The 19,847-nt window shown below is 50.2% G+C and overlaps 1 long non-coding RNA gene across 3 annotated transcripts, besides 3 other annotated features; it reads right to left on the bottom strand.

Annotated features, from left to right (window-relative positions):
• Nucleotides 24-1,223: an enhancer, noted in NCBI's record as "CDK7 strongly-dependent group 2 enhancer chr15:41268087-41269286 (GRCh37/hg19 assembly coordinates)". NCBI's record gives its function as "activates an origin of replication core promoter dependent on BRD2, BRD4, P300/CBP, MED14 and CDK7 cofactors, with strong dependence on CDK7, by STARR-seq in HCT116 cells {active_cell/tissue: HCT116}" and the evidence as "EXISTENCE:reporter gene assay evidence [ECO:0000049][PMID:35650434]".
• Nucleotides 2,151-14,623, bottom strand: LOC105370789 (uncharacterized). 3 transcript variants are annotated; one of them, XR_007064601.1, is made up of 4 exons: nucleotides 13,465-14,623; nucleotides 13,045-13,111; nucleotides 12,372-12,473; nucleotides 2,151-2,214 (listed from the first exon to the last, which is right to left on the bottom strand). It is a non-coding gene; the product is annotated as an uncharacterized LOC105370789 (long non-coding RNA). The 3 variants fall into 3 exon arrangements; XR_001751507.3 differs by lacking the exon at nucleotides 2,151-2,214 and having other exon boundaries at nucleotides 12,299-12,473; nucleotides 13,465-14,499; nucleotides 14,573-14,623; XR_932166.4 differs by lacking the exon at nucleotides 2,151-2,214 and having other exon boundaries at nucleotides 12,299-12,473.
• Nucleotides 8,368-9,019: an enhancer, noted in NCBI's record as "NANOG hESC enhancer chr15:41260291-41260942 (GRCh37/hg19 assembly coordinates)". NCBI's record gives its function as "activates a minimal SCP1, AML or CMV promoter by ChIP-STARR-seq in naive and primed H9 embryonic stem cells {active_cell/tissue: H9 hESC(naive and primed)}" and the evidence as "EXISTENCE:reporter gene assay evidence [ECO:0000049][PMID:30033119]".
• Nucleotides 18,824-19,360: an enhancer, noted in NCBI's record as "H3K4me1 hESC enhancer chr15:41249950-41250486 (GRCh37/hg19 assembly coordinates)". NCBI's record gives its function as "activates a minimal SCP1, AML or CMV promoter by ChIP-STARR-seq in naive H9 embryonic stem cells {active_cell/tissue: H9 hESC(naive)}" and the evidence as "EXISTENCE:reporter gene assay evidence [ECO:0000049][PMID:30033119]".

Here is a 19,847-nt window from a genome sequence, read left to right as displayed (position 1 = left end):
CTTATCTGGCCTCTTCCTGCGCCCTCATTTCTTTCTTGCTTCAGGTCCTGGGACTTAGCTGGCTTCCCTTTCCTCTTCAAAACTGCCACCACCCACTCTCTCGCTCCAGTTTCTCCCCCAACCCCCACCCCCGTGGCAAGCTGCTGGGGGATGGACTCCTGGTTCTCTCCTAGCTGCTGCCAGAAGTGAGCATCATGCTTTTCTTTTTTTTAAATTAAGGATTTTCTTGCTCATCACAACAAGGACACCAGGCAAAAACAATACTGTATACAGAGAATTACAAAGCTTGAGATACTTCACAGTCCTCACAGAATCCCTGCCTACAGTTCCTGGCACCTTTGGTGAGAAACAAGGATTCCTGAGGGAGAGGCTCCTGGACTCTTACCTCCTTCCTAGAGAGCTGAGTTCTTTCTTCCAGAAAGGCATATGGAATGTGCATCTGTGAGTGCCCACAAGGCCTCTGCTCTCCTGCCACTTGGGATTTCATTGTTCTGGCACACAAATCTCAAAGATAAATATGTGGCCCAAGGATTGGGGAGGCCCCTCTGGGTCTGACTTGGCAACAGCCTCAGGGGAAGAAGGAAGGGGGCACAGAGGTTCAAAGTTGGAGGTGGTGGGGAGTTTTCTAAGTTTGCTCAGCTGATGCCCCCCTAAAGCAGCTCTGGGAGAGAATGCCCGGCCTCAGCTCAGAATGTTCCACCCTCCTACCACCCCCCCAGCACATCACCACAAACCCCACCCTGAACTAGAGGCCCACCCCCCAAGCTGTTCCTGGCTGCCAGAGAAGAAAGGAGCTCCCCTCCCATTTCCCAGATGAGAGGTCCCAGAAGACCTATGCTGCTCCATGCCTTGCACCCTTGAAGAGATGGTGCCAGTTACCTGGGGATGTCTGAGCAGAGTGGTGGGGAGAGTTCAGGTCCAATGGATTGTCAGTGCAGTTCAGCTTCAGCAGTCTTAGTTTGCCTTCGGCCCGGTGGAATTGGGAAGAGCAGCATAAACTCTTACCTAGAATTTTTCTGAATAGCTAAGTCTTTCAGAGGGCTAACATTTTAACCCGGTATTCTAAGCACCAGAATTTGGCTTGGTTAGAACTCTCTTTTAAGGATACTGTGTCACTGCATGGCTAAACAGAACATACCGAACATACCTTAACCTTTCCTAAGGGCTTGGGGTCATGTGGGCATCTGGTGCTCTCAGGCCCACTGGGACGTACTACTGTTTCCCCTGGATTAAATCATGCCAACAGCTACACTGCCACAAATTGTCTGTGAGACAGGATTTTGCTCTGTCACCCAGGCTGGAGTGCAATGGTGCAATAACAGCTCACTGCAGCCTCGACCTCCCAGGTTCAAGCAATCCTCCCTGATCAGCCTCTACCATAGTGCTGGGGTTCCAGCCACAGTTCTTAAGCTCTGAATAGTACCAGTGCCAGTGCCAGCTGCCTCAGTGTTTTTGTATTTATATGATGAGATAGCTGCTCCTCTTAAAAAATAAAATCTGGGCTGGGCGCGGTGGCTCACGCCTGTAATCCCAGCACTTTGGGATGCCAGGGCGGGTGGATCACAAGGTCAGGAGATTGAGACCATCCTGGCTAACAGGGTAAAACCCTGTCTCTACTAAAAATACAAAAAATTAGCTGGGCGTGGTGGTGGGCGCCTGTAGTCCCAGCTACTCAGGAGGCTGAGGCAGGAGAATGGCATGAACCCGGGAGGCAGAGCTTGCAGTGAGCTGAGATTGCGCCACTGCACTCCAGCCTGGGCGACAGAGCAAGACTCCGTCTCAAAAAAAATAAAAATAAAATCTTTTTTTCCCCCAAACACTGATCTTAACACCCCTTCTTCTAATGTACCTTTTCTAAATTGTTGGGGGCTTGGAAATCATTTAACTAACTCAGAACTTCTGAGCTAACAAAAAGAACTTCAGAGGAGGATTGTAGGATGTCCTAGGAATTAAGTGACTGAGCTTCAGTGCATGCTTTCCACGGATGCCTGTGGCCCTCTGCTGGGCCGCAGTACCACAGTTCTGGTTAAGTAAAGTAACATGTTCTAGATAAGGGTGTTCCGGTTTGAACCAGTTCAATAAAGTTTGTTGATTTTACTCCTTTTTTTCATTCTTTGAAAAAAAAAAAAAGTATAGATCACCTTGCACATCTAGGAAAAGTTCTGCCAAGGGGTCTAGGTAGTAGACTGGTGCATGCTCCCTCTCGGACTCCATCTGCAGGCAGAGTAAGTCAGTATAGTCCATCACCGGATTTTAGTAGGAGCAGTGAAAATGAAATGGGCAAGCTCAAAAGCCAGTGTCTTTGCACTTCATCTCCACTACCCATGCCTCATCTTTATTGGACTAGGCTGGTCATCCCTAGGGAGTAATTTGGACTAGGCTGGTCATCCCTAGGGAGTAATTGCAGTGTCTGTCCACTGGTTGGGCCATAAGCCCTCTGACCAATTAATATCATTGTTCATATTGGTTAGGGTAACACATGATGCTGTAACAGACCCCAAAATGCTTAAATATCTTATTTAATGGCTTAAATAAGATATAAATTCTTATCTCTCACATGTAAGAGTTTGAATTTGGATCTGCTCTACACGAACATTGAAGGTCCCACATTCTTTCCATCTTGTTTCTCTGCTGTTTTGATGCTTTTGTCCTCATCAGCATGGTCATTACTGGTTTATAGAAATGTCCTATGGGGCCGGACACAGTGGCTCACACCTGTAATCCCAGCACTTTGGGAGGCTGAGGCAGGCGGATCACTTGAGGTCAGGAGTTCGAGACCAGCCTTGCCAACATGGTGAAACCCCATCTCTACTAAAAATACAAAAATTAGATGGGCATGGTGGCGGGCACCTGTAATCCCACCTACTCAGGAGGCTGAGGCAGGAGAATCAGTTGAATGCAGAAAGCGGAAGTTGCAGTGAGCCAAGATTGTGCCACTGTACTCCAGCCTGGGCAACAGAGCAAGACTCCATCTCAAAAAAAAAAAAAAGAAAATGAAATGTTCTATGGGAGGGGAAGACTGGGGAGGGGATCCACCTACTGTATTGCCTTAAGACTTAGACCCTTAAGTGGCTCACACACTATCAGAGAGAACTTTAGACCTAAGAACCTATCTAACTCCAAAGGAGGCTGCCATGTAATTAGGGAAGAAGAGAACAGATTTGAATGGACAGCTAATAGTCCGGACACAACACTCCAATGGAAAGTGGGCTAAAACACTATAGATTTATTTTTTAAAGCACTTTGTGCCAAGCACTGTACATAAATAGAAAATATACACACATGCAAATGGGTAATAGCCATGGGAAATGTTCAGCCATATTAGGGCTCTACAGAGAGACAACCAATAGGATATAGATATATGAGAGGGGACATACTGGGGGAATAGGCTCACATGATTATAGAGACTGGAAAGTCCCACGATAGGTGGTGTGCAAGATGGAGAACCAGGGAAGCTGGCAGCATGGTTCATCCAAGTCTGAAAGCCTTAGAACCAGGGAAGCCAGTGCTGTAACTCTCAGTCTGAACCTGAAGACCTGAAAGCCTAGGGAGCCTCTGGTGCAAGTCCCAGAGTCCAAATCCCAGAGAACCCGGAGCCCTGATGTCCAGCGGCAGGAGAAGGAGGGTGTCCCCACTTTAGAAAAGAGGGAATTTGCCTTTCCTCTGCCTTTTTGTTCTACGTGGGCCCCATACTATAATCCAGTCAAGTTGACACCTAAAATTAACCATCACATCAACCTCATTAATAAATGCAAAATAAAACAAGGAGATTCCTAGCATTTCCTGTCATACTGGGTGAAATTTGTTTTCACATAATTGCTAAAGTTGGCTAAGCTATAATAAATGAAACATTGTAGCTTAATCTTCAAGAGTCGTGTGTGTGTGTGTGTGTGTGTGTGTGCCCTCTGCATATGTGGCATGAAGCATGGCTCTAGACTGGGGGCCACCCTCTGCGCCTTGGAAGAGGTGGTCCTAGGGCTGTCCCTTTACCTCCAGTGACACCTGCCCCTAGTGGGCCTCATCCAACATCCAGACCTCAAAGTTGACCTCAAGGAGAATGATCTGGACCACCACAACCCCAGCTTTATTGCCAATGAACCCCTCAATGATCGGCACGGTGGGGGCTGAGGGCCAGGAGCAATGAGCACCTGGCTGGCTGGACCACACCTGCAGAGATCAATGAGTGAGGCCCAGCCTGGACAAGTATCTGCGAGTAAGTTAGAGGTGGCTATGGAAAACGTTCCAAAACTATCAAACATTTTATACCCATGTACTAAAACACAGGACTACATTTTCTTCCTATTATTTTTATAGAAAGTGATATTGCAATATCATTATCACTCAAAAAGGCAAAGAATGTGTGTAGCTCTTCACAAAAAAATAAGTGATGAGGATATAGAGAAATTGGAGTCATTCATTGCTGGCGGGGACATAAAATAGTGCAGGTACTTTGGAAACAGTTTGGCAATTGCTCAAAAAGTTAAACATATAGTTACTAAGATTTTGTCTACTTGGCTGAGCCACACAATGTGCAGATATTTGGTCAAACATTCTGGGTGTGTCTGTGAGCATGTTCTTGGACAAGATTAACATTTACATCTGTGGGCCGAGTGAAGTGGATTGCCCTCCCTAATGTGGGCAGGCCTCATCCAATCAGTTGAAGGCCTGAATAGAACAAAAAGCCTGCCCTTCCCTCCCCTAGTGAGAGAGAACTCCTCCTACATGACTGAGATGATGGCTTCTTCCTGCCTTCAGACTTGCACTGAAACATTGGCTCTTTCTGGATTTCAAGCCTGCTGGCGTCTGGACTAGAACTGCACCCATCAGCTCTCCTGAATCTCCAGCTTGCTCATTATAAGAAATCTCTGCTTCATAATCTACATCCTATTGGTTTTGTTTCTCTAGAGAACTTTTATTAAGATAGTTTGTCATGTGACCCACGAATTCCATTCCTAGGTACATACCCAGGAGAAATAGAAATGAAAAAACATCCACACATAAACCTGTACACAGGCCGGGCACGGTGGCTCATGCCTGTAATCCCAGCACTTTGGGAGGCTGAGGTGGGTGGATCATCTAAGGTCAGGAGTTTGAGACCAGCCTGGTCAACATGGTGAAACCCTGTCTGCACTAAAAACGCAAAAATTAGCCAGGCATGGTGGTGGATACCTATAATTCCCAACTACTCGGGAGGCTGAGGCAGGAGAATCGCTTGAACCCAGGAGGCAGAGGGTGCACTGAGCTGAGATCGCACCACTGCACACCAGCCTGGGTGACAGAGCAAGACTCTGTATCAAAAAAAAAAAGAAAAAGAAACCTATAACACAAATGTTCAGAGCAGGATTATTCACAACAGTTAAAAAAATAGAAACAACTGAACATCCATTAACTGATGAATGGATAAAATGTGATATGTCCATACAATGCAATACTATTTAGCAATAGAAAGGAATGAACTTGATATATGCTACGACGTGAATGAAACTTGAAAACAATTTCTGCCAGATCTCAGAAAAAAAAAATGAAAGAATTCACACAAACGACCATTGTATGATTATGAAATGTCCAGAACAGGAAAATCTATAGAAACGGAAAATATATTCATGGTTACCTAGGGATGAGGGGACTGAGTGGTATGAGAGCTAAGGGGAATAGGGTTTCTTTTTGGTCTGATGAAAGAAAATGTCCTAAAAATGATAGTGATGAAAGCTGCATAGTTCTGTGAATATATAGTAAAAGCCATTGAATTGTACACTTTAATGGGTAATTTGTATGGTAGGGTAATTTCATTTCAATAAAGTTGCTAAGAAAAAGAAAATGCAGCCAGAAATGTAGTGAAAAAGTAGGTTGAACAACATGGAATTGCTCTCTCACCATATGACTATTTTTACTTACAAATGTGGCAGTTTCAAATGTTTCAACCTATTGGTAATTAAAACCAATGATGTTAAGATTTTTTAGGCTTTTTTTTTTTTTTTTTTTTTTTTTTGGAGACAGGGTCTTGCTGTGTCACCCAGGCTGTAGTGCAGTGGTGTGATCAGGGCTCACTGCACCCTTGACTTTCAGGGTTCAAGTGATCCTCCTACCTCAGCCCCTCAAGCAGCTGGGACTACAGGTGTGCACCACTATGCCCAGCTAATTTTTTTTTTTTAACTTTGGTAGAGACAGGGTCTCACTATGTTGTCCAGGCTGGTCAACTCCTGAGCTCAAGCAATCATCCCACCTCGCCCTCCCAAAGTACTGAGATTACAGGCATGAGCCACCATATGCCTGGCCAAGGTATCTTTAAATTTTCTATTATTCTAAATACTCACTTTTGTACTTAATTCACTTTTGTACTTTTGTACTTAATTTCTTTATTCTTTTTCTTAAAGAAGGCTTCCGCAAATTGCATGAGTTTTAGGCCTCAAACACCCAGATCCCAGGGTGGGAATGTGAAGAGACAGAACCTTTTATAGGACAATTTCACAATGTGTATTAAGAATTTTTAGGCCGGCCAGGCGCAGTGGCTCACGCTGGTAATCCCAGCACTTTGGGAGGCCGAGGCGGGCGGATCACAAGGTCAGGAGATAGAGACCATCCTCGCTAACACGGTGAAACCCCGTCTCTACTAAAAATACGAAAAATTAGCCAGGCGTGGCAGCGTGTGCCTGTAGCCCGCTACTCGGGAGGCTGAGGCAGGAGAATTGCTTGAACCGGAAGGCGGAGGTTGCAGTGAGCCGATATTGGGCCACTGGACTCCAGCCTGGGCATCAGAGCGAGACTCCATCTCAAAAGAAAAAAAAAAAAAAAATTTATGCCGGACGCAGTGGCTCACGCCTGTAATCCCAGCACTTTGGGAGGCCGAGGCGGGTGGATCACCTGAGGTCGAGAGTTAAGACCAGCCTGACCAACATGGAGAAACTCCATCTCTACTAAAAATACAAAATTAGCCAGGCGTGGTGACGCATGCCTGTAATCCCAGCTACTCAAGAGGCTGAGGCAGGAGAATCTCTTGAACCCGGGAGGCGGAGGTTGCGGTGAGCAGCGATCGCGCCATTGCACTCCAGCCTGGGCAACGAGAGAAACTCCATCTCAAAAAAAAAAAAAAATTTTTAAAACATCCCTGCTGTTGTTCCAGCCATTCTATTTTCAGGGATCCCTACACAAGGGTGCCAGAGGGCAGGGCCTCTCAACTTTAATGTGAGAACTGTCTCCTGGGACTCTTATTAAAAATGCAGACTGATCTGCTAGGTCTGGGAGTCATATCCAGTAAGCTCCCAGGTGATGTGGAGGCTGCTGGTCTACAGGCCCTCTCTGAGTAGCCAGAGGATGTTCTTTGGTTATCTCCTCAAAATTTCCCCCCACCCCCGACATCACGCAACAGCCACCCTTACGTCTTGCCACAGTTGCCCGCTCAAGGACAGACAGGGAACCCAGACCCAAGGCAGTCAGGGCTAGCTTCCCTCCCTCATCCCTAACCTTTCATCAGGTGGCCCAGTCAGAGCAAAACAGGCCACTCCCATGGTCATGAACAGAAAAGTTTATCACCCAAGGGCTGCAGAGGAGCCAGCCTGAGGGCACCACTGCCAACAGAGAAGGGCAAACTCCAGGGAAATGGAGCAGGATCCCTGACTGAGCCTTACCCAAAGCTCCCTTCCTCTTAACTGTTGGGTTTCACCACTGACTCCTGTTTGCTTCATGCTTGTTTGAACTCGGTTTTCCGTTACATGCAACTTGGACGAAAAGTCCGTGACAGCATAATTGAACCTAGCAAAAAATTGAGACAACCCAAAAGCCTCACAACATAGGACTGGTGAAATAAATGTTTGCATATCTATATGATAGAATGATTAGGTGGTCATTAAAAATCATTCTCAAGAATATTTGGTATCATGGGAAAATGCTCAGAATATACTCTTAGGAGAAAAGTAGGGCACAAAGAGGGAGCACTAGAAGGAAGTCAGCTTTCCTAGATGGTGGAATTATGAATGATTTCTAAGTTCTTTTATGTCATTTTATTTCTGTATTTCTAGCATATCCTACTTCTCATATTCCTTTCTATTTCTAGTACATATGAACAGCCTATTCCAGAATACCCTTTATCTCATTTTTAAATTTCTCCAAGCATAATGGATACCTCTTATCGTGATACAATCTACAGCTCAAGTGTTGTCTTTTGAGACAGGGATGTCACTCTGTCACCCAGGCTGAAGTGCAGTGACATGATCACGACTCACTGTAACCTTGACCTCCCAGGCTCAAGAGATCCTCCTACCTGAGCCTCTTGAGTAGCTGGAACTACAAGGGTGCGACATCATACCTGGCTAATTTAAAAAAAAAAAAAAAAACGTAGAGATGGGATCTGTGTTGCCCAGGCTGATCTTGAACTTGTGAGCTCAAGCCATCCTCCTGCCTCAGCCTCTCAAAGTGCTGGAACTACAGGTGTGAGCCACTGTGCCCGGCCCAGCTCAAGTGTTCTTTTAAAAACCTGTCACTGAGCCAGGCACAGTGGCTTTTCCCTGTAATCCTAGATACTTGGGGGGCTGAGGTGGAAGCATTGCTTGAGGCCAGGAGTTCAGGACCAGCCTGGACAACAATAGCAAGACCCGGCATGTAAACAAACAAAAAACACTTCTGTCACTGTTCTTCCAAGTCCTTAGTGGTTTCCTGCTGGGCTCAACAAAGGCTGCAGAACTAATGGGATCCTCAGGCCTTGCAACTTTAGCCTGCGACCCTGCTATCTAACATTTTTTTTTCTCTTGGAATGTGCCAGGCTCAGTGCTCCCTCAGGGATGTGATGCACATGGTTCAATTTTTAAATTTTTTTTTCTTGAGACAGGGTTTCACTCTGTCGCCTAGGCTGGAGTACAGCGGCATGATCTTGGCTCGCTGCAGCCTCAATCTCCCAGGCTCAAGTGATCCTCCCACCTCAGACTTCTGAGTAACTGAGACTATAGGTGCCTTCCACCATGCCCAGCTGATTTTTTTTTTTTTTTTTTTTTTTTTTTTTAAGAGACAGGGTTTTGCCATGTTGCCCAGGCTGGTCCTTGAACTCCTGGACTCAAGTGATCCTCCTACCTCTGCCTCCCAAAGTACGTGAATTATAGGTGTGAGCCACCATGCCTGATTTTTAAATTCTTTATAACATTCTGTATTTTCCAAATTTGCTACTTGATCATGTGCTATTTTATAATCAGTGCTATTAAGAGAAAGTTTATATTTTTAGGGAAAATTAAGAAAACTCAAAAACAAGAAATGACTTCAATCAGAACTTTTTAAAAAATTTTTTTTTGTAAAGCTAAGGTCTCACTGTATTGCTCAAACTGGTCTCAAACTCACGGGCTCAAGTGATCCTCCTATCTTGGCCTCCCAAAGTGCTGGGATTACAGGAGTGAGACACCAGTTAAAACTTTCTTATAGTGTGTCTCCCTATTTCAATTCAGTTCATGTGATAAAATAACATGGCCAGGCACGGCGGCTCATGCCTGTAACCCCAGCACTTTGGGAGGCTGAGGTAGGCTGATCACTGGAGGTGAGGAGTTCCAGAACAGCCTGCCCAACATGGTGAAATCCCGTCTCTACTAAAAATACAAAAAAATTAGCCGGGCATGGCGGCAGCACCTGTAATCCCAGGTACACAGGAGGCTGAGGCAGAAGAATAGCTTGAACCTGGGAGGCAGAGGTTGCAGTAAGCTGAGATCATGCCACTGCACTCCAGCCTGGGCCAGAGAGCAAGACTCCATCTCAAAAAATAATATAACACTAAACAAAGATAACATGGTAACCCCCGCTACCCCTGAATGTTTGCAAGGAGACTTTGGAGAAGCTGTACTTCAGACTAAGGAATGACTCCAAAGGCTGCAATTTAAGGCGCCATGGGGAAATATTTTAAAGCAGGTATGTCTTTGTTATGCCTCAGATGCTGAGCTTTGATAATCACTTGCACCGGTTTGTAAGGCTGATGTTTTGGTTTATCTGGGCATAGGACCAGCTTTTCTCTCGGTAGAGAAGGGAGCCCCTCTTCACCGCCCATCACCAAAGTGAGCACCTCTTTACCCTCTGAGTGTTATTTGTGGACCTTCTCTTTTTGGCATAAAAGCTTTTTGTCAGATCTATTTTTTTACTTCTCTACTTATGAATACATGATAAACTTGCACAGTTCAAAATTAAAAACATACAAAAGGGCATAAAAAGAAAGTCTCTCTCCCATCCCATCCCCTGGAGCCCGGTTCCCCTCCTGGGAGGCAAATTATGTTGACAGTTTAAGATTCCTTCCAGACACATTTACATGCTTTTTAAAAAACAGGATTACACTCACGTTATATGTCTAATTTTGTATGCTTTTTGTCCCACTTAACACTACAGTAATAACATTAATAGTTATGTAAAGAGATTAAAATGTTTCTTAACATTAGCAAATACTCTTCATAAACATTCATGACTGCAAATATGCCGTCCAAGGGAGATGAACCATTTTATTGTTTACTGCTGGACAAATAGTTTTCTCCTCTTAAATTCTCCGATTCTGTCCAAGATGAAACTATCTACATGAGTTCAACTAGAGACTGCAGTTTAGTTTAGACCCAGATCAGCCATTTGCTCCCTGGGGACACAGGGCTCTGGGGTCAGGAGGTGGCCCAGCGCCAAGCCAGAAGGATAAGCAGGTGGTCCCTGGTCTACATGGCCTGCAGGGGCTGGCTGTGTGGTCCAGGCCAGTAGAGCAGATATATTTAACTGGGTCAGATGCTGCTGACTGTGTCATGACCCAGGAGGATTGTGCTGTTGGTAAACAAACCAGAATGGCCTGGCTGCAGCCAGCCCTCCTTCCTCCGCCTGCTGACCCGCCAGGGGGTGTGAGAAGTGGAGGAGAGCATGACCAGGGAGACGGCTCAGACACAGGGGCCCCTGCAAGGCATCTCGCCCAGGAAGGATTGGGAAGTGGCCTTGTCTCACTGCCCTTAGTTGTTTTTTTCCTTATTTCCCTCCTGCCGCAGCCCGCGCGGCATTTCTGCTCCCTGCCTCCTCCCACACTTCCCTCTGTCCCTCCAACCCAGTCTACCTTATTTGCCCTGCTAAGTAAGTGCAGTTCATTCATTCATTCCATTCAACTCATTTAGCATTTATTTATTGAGCAAATAAATCTTTCAAGGGCCTAAGACAAGCCAGGCTTTGAGCTGGCCACCAAGAATACAACACTAGGCCAGGTGCAATGGTTCACACGCCTGTAATCCCAGCACTTTGGGAGGCTGAGGCAGGCGGATCACCTGAGGCCAGGAGTTTGAGATCAGCCTGGCCAACATGGTGAAACCCCGTCTCTACTAAAAATACAAAACACCTGGGCATGGTGGTGTGCACCTGTAATCCCAGCTACTTGGGAGGCTGAGGCAGGATCGCTTGAACCTGGGAGGCGGAGGTTGCAGTGAGCTGAGATTGTGTCACTGCACTCCAGCCTGCCTGGGCAACAGATAGAGACTCCATCTCAAAAAACAAACAAAAAAACAGGAACATGCCAGCTCCTGCCTTACTGGAGCTTAACTCTAGTGAGATGAGAAATCAGCCAATAACTAATTGGGTATTGGTGAAAAATAATACTATCAAGAGCAATAATAACCAGGCTGGGTGGGTGGCTCCTGCCTATAAATCCAGCATTTTGGAAGGCCAAGATGGGAGGATCATTTGAGCCCGGGGTTTTGAGAGCAGCCTAGGCAACCTATGGAGACCCTGTCGCCAAGTAATTAAGTAAATAAGAAAAACAACCACCACCACCAACATTCACATAGTGCCTTAGCGTATGGAGTGTTTTCACCTGAAAGCATACCTAATCCCAAGAATCTGAGAGGTAGCTAATGATTGTCAGTCCTGCTCTACAGGTGAGAAAATTGCAGCTTTGGGAGATTAAGTAACCTGGCCAAGGACTTACACCTGGTAAGTGGAGCCCCAGCTCTTGAACCCAGTTCCTCCGACTCCGAGCCCATATCCTTCGTGCAGAAAGATGAGCTACTGGAACTGGACGAGAAAAAGTTTCCGGTCCAGCTCTTCATTTTGCATTTGAGGAGACAGAGGTCCAGAGAGTGTAAAAATGCCTTGACTAAAACACACCGCTGAAAACAGACTGGAAGCTCCAGACTCCCAGCCCAGGACTCTTTCTTTGCATCTAAACAGTCCGATGCCCTGACCCAGGGGGCAAGCCCTGGTGCCTGCGGAGGTGTGGGATGGTCACGGTAGGTCAGTCTCCTCCCTGAGCTGCATCCCCAGCTAGCCCGCCCCGCTCTGCATAGTTCCTCTTCTGAGGTAACAGTCCAGAGCACCCCTCTGAGGTCCCCTCATCACTGCCTGCCTCCTGCTGGGTGAGAAGACTTTCAGTCAACCAACACGACGTAGGTACCTACTATGTGTACGCTCCGCTGGGATACATTAGGACCTTGGTCCCTGCCCTCTCGGGCTCACAGTCAGGATAAGGAGGAATCGACGAGAACATGATACAATAGAAGCTGCAAGAGAAACAACACGGGTGGCAGAGATGCATGGCAGGGCCCCAAAGCCAGATCTAGGTGGTCAGGGGTAGGGAAGCTTCAGGGAAGGCTTCTCAGAGAAGGTGACATCTCAGCTGAGCCCTGAAGCCTGAGTGACAAATTAGCTAGGCTAGAGCTGGTAGGGATGAGATTTTAGAATGAGGGAATGGAGGAGGGTTCGAGCTCCAAGGTGAGAGGGTCCCTGCCTGTGGCGGGGAAGCGGGGGGGGGGGTGGGTCCCAGGTTTCTGCCCCACCAGCTCCTATCAGTGCATACCACGTTGCTTGGGCTGCAGCTGGCCTGTGAGCAGGAACTGGGTCTCCCTCTGGAAACCCCCATAGGCGAGGGCCTGCTCCTATGGAAGGCATCCCACGTGGGCAGCTTGTCATCAGCTTTCACCACCCATGGGCTCCCCCGTCCTTCCTGCCAGAGCCCCTTCCCTTCTCCTGCCACCCTCTGCCTGGCATAGGACACGACTGGGCCCCATGAGTGGCTGTGCCTGGCTGGACGTGACTGGCTGGGGGAAAGCTGCAAGTGGGTACATTACTTACCTGAGTCCCCTTCCTACCCCAGTCACCAACACCATTAGGCTGTACCCAGGAAAGCCAAGCTCCTTTCCTGTGGGGACAGGGAGAGAGATGGCGGATGTGGGGGCGCCACTCCATGAAAGATGCACAAACGCCCCTCTAGCTTAGCACTGCAGGTGGGGGAACTAGCAAGAGGCAGCCCCTTCCCCTGGTATGCATTTAGGGCCCTGGCCTCTCACAGATCAAAGAAGAAAAAAAACCGATCCAAAATGGAGGGGGGGGGGGCCAGCAGCGTGGTCTGCGCTGCCGCAATCAGGCACCCACCAGGGGCGCCATGCCCGGCTGGTCTGCCCTTGCCCATGTGGCTTCCAGCCCCACATTCCTGTGCTTTGCACATAAACCTTCAGATTGAATAATAGCCTGGGGAGCCAAGCTGGCACTTACCCTTGAATATGATTAGGTTTTTATGGGGTCTTTCCCTCCAAGGTGACATACGACGTTACATTCAGGGAGTCATTGCCCATGGGAACATTTCCCACAGGTCCTCTGAGCTCCTCCTAGGGCCCCGGAACTGTGCTCCATGCTGGGGTAAACCGTTCCTGCCCTCGGGGGTGTTCCAGTTAGTAAGGACAGACCTGCAAGTAGATGAAGCCAATAACACCTGCTGGGCACAGAACAGATCTGGGCAGAAACGGCAGGGAGGGTACCAGGCGGCCATATGAAGCCAGGGCGTGTGCTGAGGGGTGTGAAAGGGTGGACAAGCTTGTTAGAGGAGCATCTCGGTCAGGATAGCAACAGGAGAAAAGGCTGTGATCACACGTAGCATGAGGCAGAAGGGGTCGCAGGTGGCTGGAGTCTGTGGAGAGTAGGGCCCACGTTGTCCATGTGGAGGGGGCTTAGCCAGACCTACATTTTACGTTATGTGGAAAATGAATATACAGAGCACAGAACGGGATGATAGATAGGTTTAGACATCATAACGCTAGCCCAGGAAAAGAGTAGGGTGAGGATGGTAGAAGTAGGGCAGGTACCGCACATCCTCGGGACAGGTGAGATGACAAGTTTTTAAGGTTGAGGATGGAGCTCAGCCCCAGGTTCCTGGCTCAGCTGGGAGGCGACTATCAGGGCTGGAGTGGGCTTCTGGGCATGGGCACCCCAGGGCTGACGCTTCCTGGGAAGCGGATGGTCCAAGTGTGTCCCGAATTGGTGGGTTCTTGGTCTCACTAACTTCAAGAATGAAGCCCCGGACCCTCACGGTGAGTGTTACAGCTTTTCAGGTGGCCCGTCTGGAGTCTGTCCCTCCTGATGTTCAGATGTATTCGGAGTTTTTTCCTTCTGGTGGGTTTGTGGTCTCCCTGGCTCAGGAGTGAAGCTGCAGACCTTCGCGGTGAGTGTTATAGCTCTATAAGGTAGCACTTCGGGAGTTGTTTGTTCTTTCCAGTGGGCTCGTGGTCTCAGGAGTGAAGCTGCAGATCTTCCCTGTGAATGTTACAGCTTATAGAAGCAGCGTAGACCCAAAAAGCGAGCTACAGTAGCAAGAGTTATTACATACAGCGAAAGAACAAAGTTTCCACAATCCGGAAGGGGACCCGAGCGAGTTACTAATGCAAGCTCGGGCAGCCTGCTTTTATTCTCTTATCTGGCCCCACCCACATCTTGCTGATTGGTAGAGCCGAGTGGCCTGTTTTGTCAGGGCGCTGATTGGTGCGTTTACAATCCCTGAGCTAGATACAAAGGTTCTCCACCTCCCCATCAGATTACTTAGATACAGAGTTTCCACACACAGGTTCTCCAAGGCCCCACTAGAGCAGCTAGATACAGAGTGTCAATTGGTGCATTCACAAACCTTGAGCTAAACACAGTGTGCTGATTGGTGTGTTTACAAACCTTGAGCTAGATACAGAGTGTAGATTGGTGCACTCACAAACCTTGAGCTAAACACAGAGTGCTGATTGGTGTATTTACAATCCCTGAGCTAGACATAAAGACTCTCCACGTCCCCACGACTCAGGAGCCCAGCTGGCTTCACCTAGTGGATCCCGCACCGGGGCTGCAGGTGGAGCTGCCTGCCAGTCCCGGTGCCGTGCGCCCGCACTCCTCAGCCCTTGGATGGTCGATGGGACTGGGCGCCGTGGAGCAGGGGGCGGCGCTCGTCGGGGAGGCTCGGGCTGCACAGGAACCCACGGAGTGGGTGGGAGGCTGAGGCATGGCGGGCTGCAGGTCCCGAGCCCTGCCCCGCGGGAAGAGAGCTAAGGCTCGGTGAGAAATAGAGCACAGCGCTGGTGGGCTGGCACTGCTGGGGGACCCAGTACACCCTCCGCAGCTGCTGGCCCGGGTGCTAAGTCCCTCATTGCCCGGGGCCAGCAGGGCTGGCCGACTGCTCCGAGTGCGGGGCCTGCCAAGCCCACGCCCACCCGGAACTCCAGCTGGCCCGCAAGCGCCGCACGCAGCCCCGGTTCCCGCTCGCGCCTCTCCCTCCACACCTCCCTGCAAGCTGAGGGAGTGGGCTCCGGCCTTGGCCAGCCCAGAAAGGGGCTCCCACAGTGCAGTGGTGGGCTGAAGGGCTCCTCAAATGCTGCCAAAGTGGGAGCCCAGGCAGAGGAGGTGCCGAGAGCAAGCGAAGGCTCTGAGGACTGCCAGCACGCTGTCACCTCTCACAGGCAGAGGCCTAGCAAGGGGCAGGACCCAGGATGGAGCCAAAATGGGGACGGCAGTGCCAGGCCGAGGAACAGAGGCACAGGGGGTTAGAGCCAGGAGTGCGCAGCACAGAGTCCCAGGCGAAGGAGGAGAGGCAGGAAGGATCAGCTAGGGTGGTGGGGCGGGGCAGGGGCGCGGAAAATACCCCAGGAGTTCCCTGGGGTGATGGTGCCACCAGGAAGGGCTGAGGACCTGGCTGAGCCTTCAGGGCGTGTCCAGCTCTCCTCACGCCCAAGGAAATGCCTGAGGCAAGGGTGAGGCCAGGGCAGGCTGAGGAGGAAGGACAGGCCTGCAGGGGACTCTCCACAGGCAGCAAGAGGAAGGATAGAGGACGGTGGCCTTCCCTGGCTGCCAACCCGGGCTTTGTGACCTAAGCCGGGCCCCAGCCGCTGGGCTGGTGGTGAAGGGTAGAGGACAGGCTCCTGCAGGCTCTGGCCAAGCCCGTCTGACAGCCACCAGCTCCACTAATAAAGTGACCCTGCTGTGTCCCAATTCTCTACAGCTATCATGTAATTTAGTGTCCAAACTGAGACACTTTTGAGAGTCAAAGTCATAATTACTCCAGAACAACAGAGTAAACTAGGGCTGACCTGGCCATGCTGGGGTCCACGGTCGCCCTACCCTCAGGGAGCAGCAGGGCCCTCTGCTCACACTCCGGCCATCTGGGACACGCCCCGTGATCATTGCCTCCCCTCTCCTGGCCTCAGCCCTGGAGCATCCGATCCCTCTTCGGATCCAGGCCTGGGGAACGGGGGGTCTCCCCCATTTGTGGTCCTTCTTCCCACACCTTCTGCTTCTCCAACTGACATTTCCCTCTTCAAGGGCATGACAGCCCCCAGAGGAATGGGGTCCTTTCTGTAGCCCAGTGGGGGACAACCTGGAGAGAATCCCACCAGCCCTAGAAAGGTACACGAAGGCTACATCGTCCTGCACAGTCCCTGTCCCCTGCTGATGAGAGACCCCCACCCTCTTGGCAAAATCCTGGGATCCCCAGTCTCCTCCCTCCTGCTTGCCTCTATCTCCAGTGGGCTGCCAGGAGGCAGATCCACCACCGTCCCAGCTCCTGCCTTTCCTCCAGGCCTCGCCAACACCTGCCCGGAACATCTCAGCAGACTCCCACCACGTCTTGCGCCAGCAACCCATCTTTCTCTGGCTACAAGTACAAGCCTCCGGGCCTGAACAAGACACTAGTCTACCTTAAAGCAGACAAAACAAAGAAAAAGAACAAAACAAACAAGAGACCCTGCGGTGGGAAGGAAAACGTGAAAAAAACACAAGCATCACTACAGAAGTCAACTTCTCTAAAAAAGAATCTCTAATATTTCCTCCACCATCGGACCCCAGAGCAGCTTCCTGCCTCCTCCCCAGCGCCCCAGAGCGTCAGCCACTCGGCGTGGCCCTTTCTCCTTTGCCGGAATGCCCCTTCTACCCACTGGATTTCTACCGCTTCTCTAAGGCCCCCAGAGCCAGCCAGCCTTGCCCACCCCTGAGCTCCGGTTACCCTTCCCAGGCCAGGTGCGGGGGTGGTTGTGTTTGTCTGCTGCCGACAGCAGTGGGAGGCCAAGGGGCCTGGGCTGTTGTAGATTCAATAAAAAGCAATGAATCGGCCGATCCTTCCCACCGACTCCTGGCTCTCCAGGAGCATGCCCTAGAGGCACAGATAGGATGATTCTGCAGCCCCTGCTAACTCTGAAATTCCCTAATGCTGCGGCCTAAGGCTGGAAACCCAAACATCACCCTGCTCAAGTCTTTCCCAACTGAAAAGGAAAAGAAACAATCAGAAAACCTTTTTTTTTGTTTGTTTTTTAAGACAGAGTCTTGCTCTGTCGCCTAGGCGGAGTGCAGTGGCGCGATCTTGGCTCACTGCAACCTCCACCTCCTGGGTTCAAGTGATTCTCCTGCCTCAGCCTCCCAAGTAGTTGGTACTACGGGTGCCCACCACCACGCCTGGCTAATTTTTGTATTTTTTAGTAGAGACTGGGTTTCACCATGTTGTCCAGGCTGATCTTGAACTCCTGACCTCAAGTGATCTGCCCGCTTTTGGCCTCCCAAAGTGCTGGGATTACAGGCATGAGCCACCGCACTACTACAGTAAATGTTAATAACTATATCCGACATAAACAAAAGCTCTTGGGGTCCTCCACAATTTTTCATTTGTGAAGGGGTCCTGAGACCCCCGCAACTCCTGTGCCCTCAGTTATCCCTGTTTCTCTCTCTTCTTAGCAACCATGTTTCCTGAAAGCTGCTTCCCCTCCCACTGGCCCCTCAGCCCTGCCTTGTGGCTTTCCATACTGTTCCTGAAATTGCTCTCACTGAAGCCACAAGGGACCCCCCCTGGCATTTCATCCAGTGGACACTCTTCTGTCCTCGTTTCTCTTGACATCTTGGCCATCTTGGCAACATGACCATGTTGTGCACCTCCTGGAGACACCTTCCACCCTGGCTCTCCTCACCCTGCCCTCTCCTCGTTCTCCGCCTACCTCTCCAGCGCTTGTTCCCGACACCTCTTCTTGCTTTGCTCAGACCACCGCGGCTGGGGTCCTCAGGGCCTGGCCGGGCCCTGTTCTCCTCTCCTCCCCTACCAGGGCTTTAAGCCCAGTCTCCACATGTATGGTTCCCAAGTCTCTAACTCCAGCCCAGCTTTCTCTCCTGACTCCCACACCAACATATCCAGCTGCCCTGAACATCCCCGTAGAAGTCATTCCTCCCCTCACAGGCACCCCTAACTTAAACGCAAGGCTATCTACCCCCGACTCTTTCCAGATCTGCCACTGTCCCAGGAGCCCCAGCCCTACTGTCTCTACCCTCCTTTCACTCTGCTCATCAAACCAGCCACCAAATGCTGTCAACCTCACCCCTAAACAATTCTGCAATCCCTCCACTGTCCATTCCCACTGGCACACCTCAGCTTGGGCACCCTACAGCTCCCTCTGGCCTCTCTCCTCCAATCTGACTTCAGCCAGTGTTCTCTCTTAAGCACATCTCTGCCCTTCTCAGAATCCACCAGAGGCCCCCACTGACCCAGGAGGAATGCCACCCCGCAGCATGGCACAGCGCAATTCACCAGGCCGGCAGTCCTGCCACCTGTCTGGCTCGTGTCTCCTGTCCGGGCCACTCTGTTCCAGCTGGTCTGAGCTTGCCTCCCCTCAGGCACGTGTTGTTCCCTTACTCTCTGTTCCTCAGAGGCCCCTTCTCAGGTTCCCTCTCCAAGAAAGCCAAGAAGGCCTTCCCTGACTGCCCTGCTCAAGTCAGAAGCCCTTTCTGGGTGCTCAAGGCCCTCTTCTCCCATTCCACGCTGAATGGTCACCATCAGTTTCTAGACTCCAAGTTCCTTGAGGAGGAGGAGTTCTTTACCGCTGTATCCCCGTGCCTGGAATGGTGCATGGCACACAGTGGGAGCTTAAGGAAATACTTGCTGATCGAATGGCTTGATGGGTGAAAGCCCCCTACGTGCAGCTGGCAAGCAGCCCTCCCCACCATCAGCTCCCAGGATGGAGCAGGGCTGTGCTCTGGCTGTCTGGCAAGAGGCCCAGGAAACACAGGAGGCAGCTGCCCAGGGCTCCCTGCCACCTGCTGCCTCCTCCTTTTGTGTTGCCCTCACCAGGCACCCAGAAGAAGCTGGCTGGACTCCACACTCTTCCCATCAATGGCCAAGACACAAGGCCGCCAAGACATGAGCACACGGCCCAGGCATGGCACCCTCCCCAGCCACAACGGCTGCACAACCTGATCGGAGTTGACCCTGCTGGAGACACCCAGACCAATCCAGGACACCAGCCGCAAGAACAGCAGCAACACATACCACCCAGCCTGCCCCATACATCATCCCACGGCATCGTCCCCTCACAGTGAACTTGTACCCAGGGGGCTGAAGGCTTTTTCCGAGGTGACTGGGCAATGAGGAGGAGGCTGGGTTGGACTCTCAAGGCACTTTTTTTTTTTTTAATTTCCTTTGTATTTTTTATAGAGATGGGGTCTCACTGTGTTGTCCAGGCTGGTCTCGAATTCCTGGGCTCAAGTGATTCTCCCACCTTGGCCTCCCAAAGTACTGGGATTACAGGCATGAGCCACCACACCCAGCCCTTGGCCTCAAGCTCTTCTGCTGCTAGAGCCTGTCATTTTGGGTCTGC

Source organism: Homo sapiens, chromosome 15 (genome assembly GCF_000001405.40).
Source record: "Homo sapiens chromosome 15, GRCh38.p14 Primary Assembly".
In the NCBI taxonomy this organism is placed as follows: Eukaryota; Metazoa; Chordata; class Mammalia; order Primates; family Hominidae; genus Homo; species Homo sapiens.
Note: the sequence above shows the minus strand (reverse complement) of the source record. Positions and strands in the feature narration are given on the sequence as shown.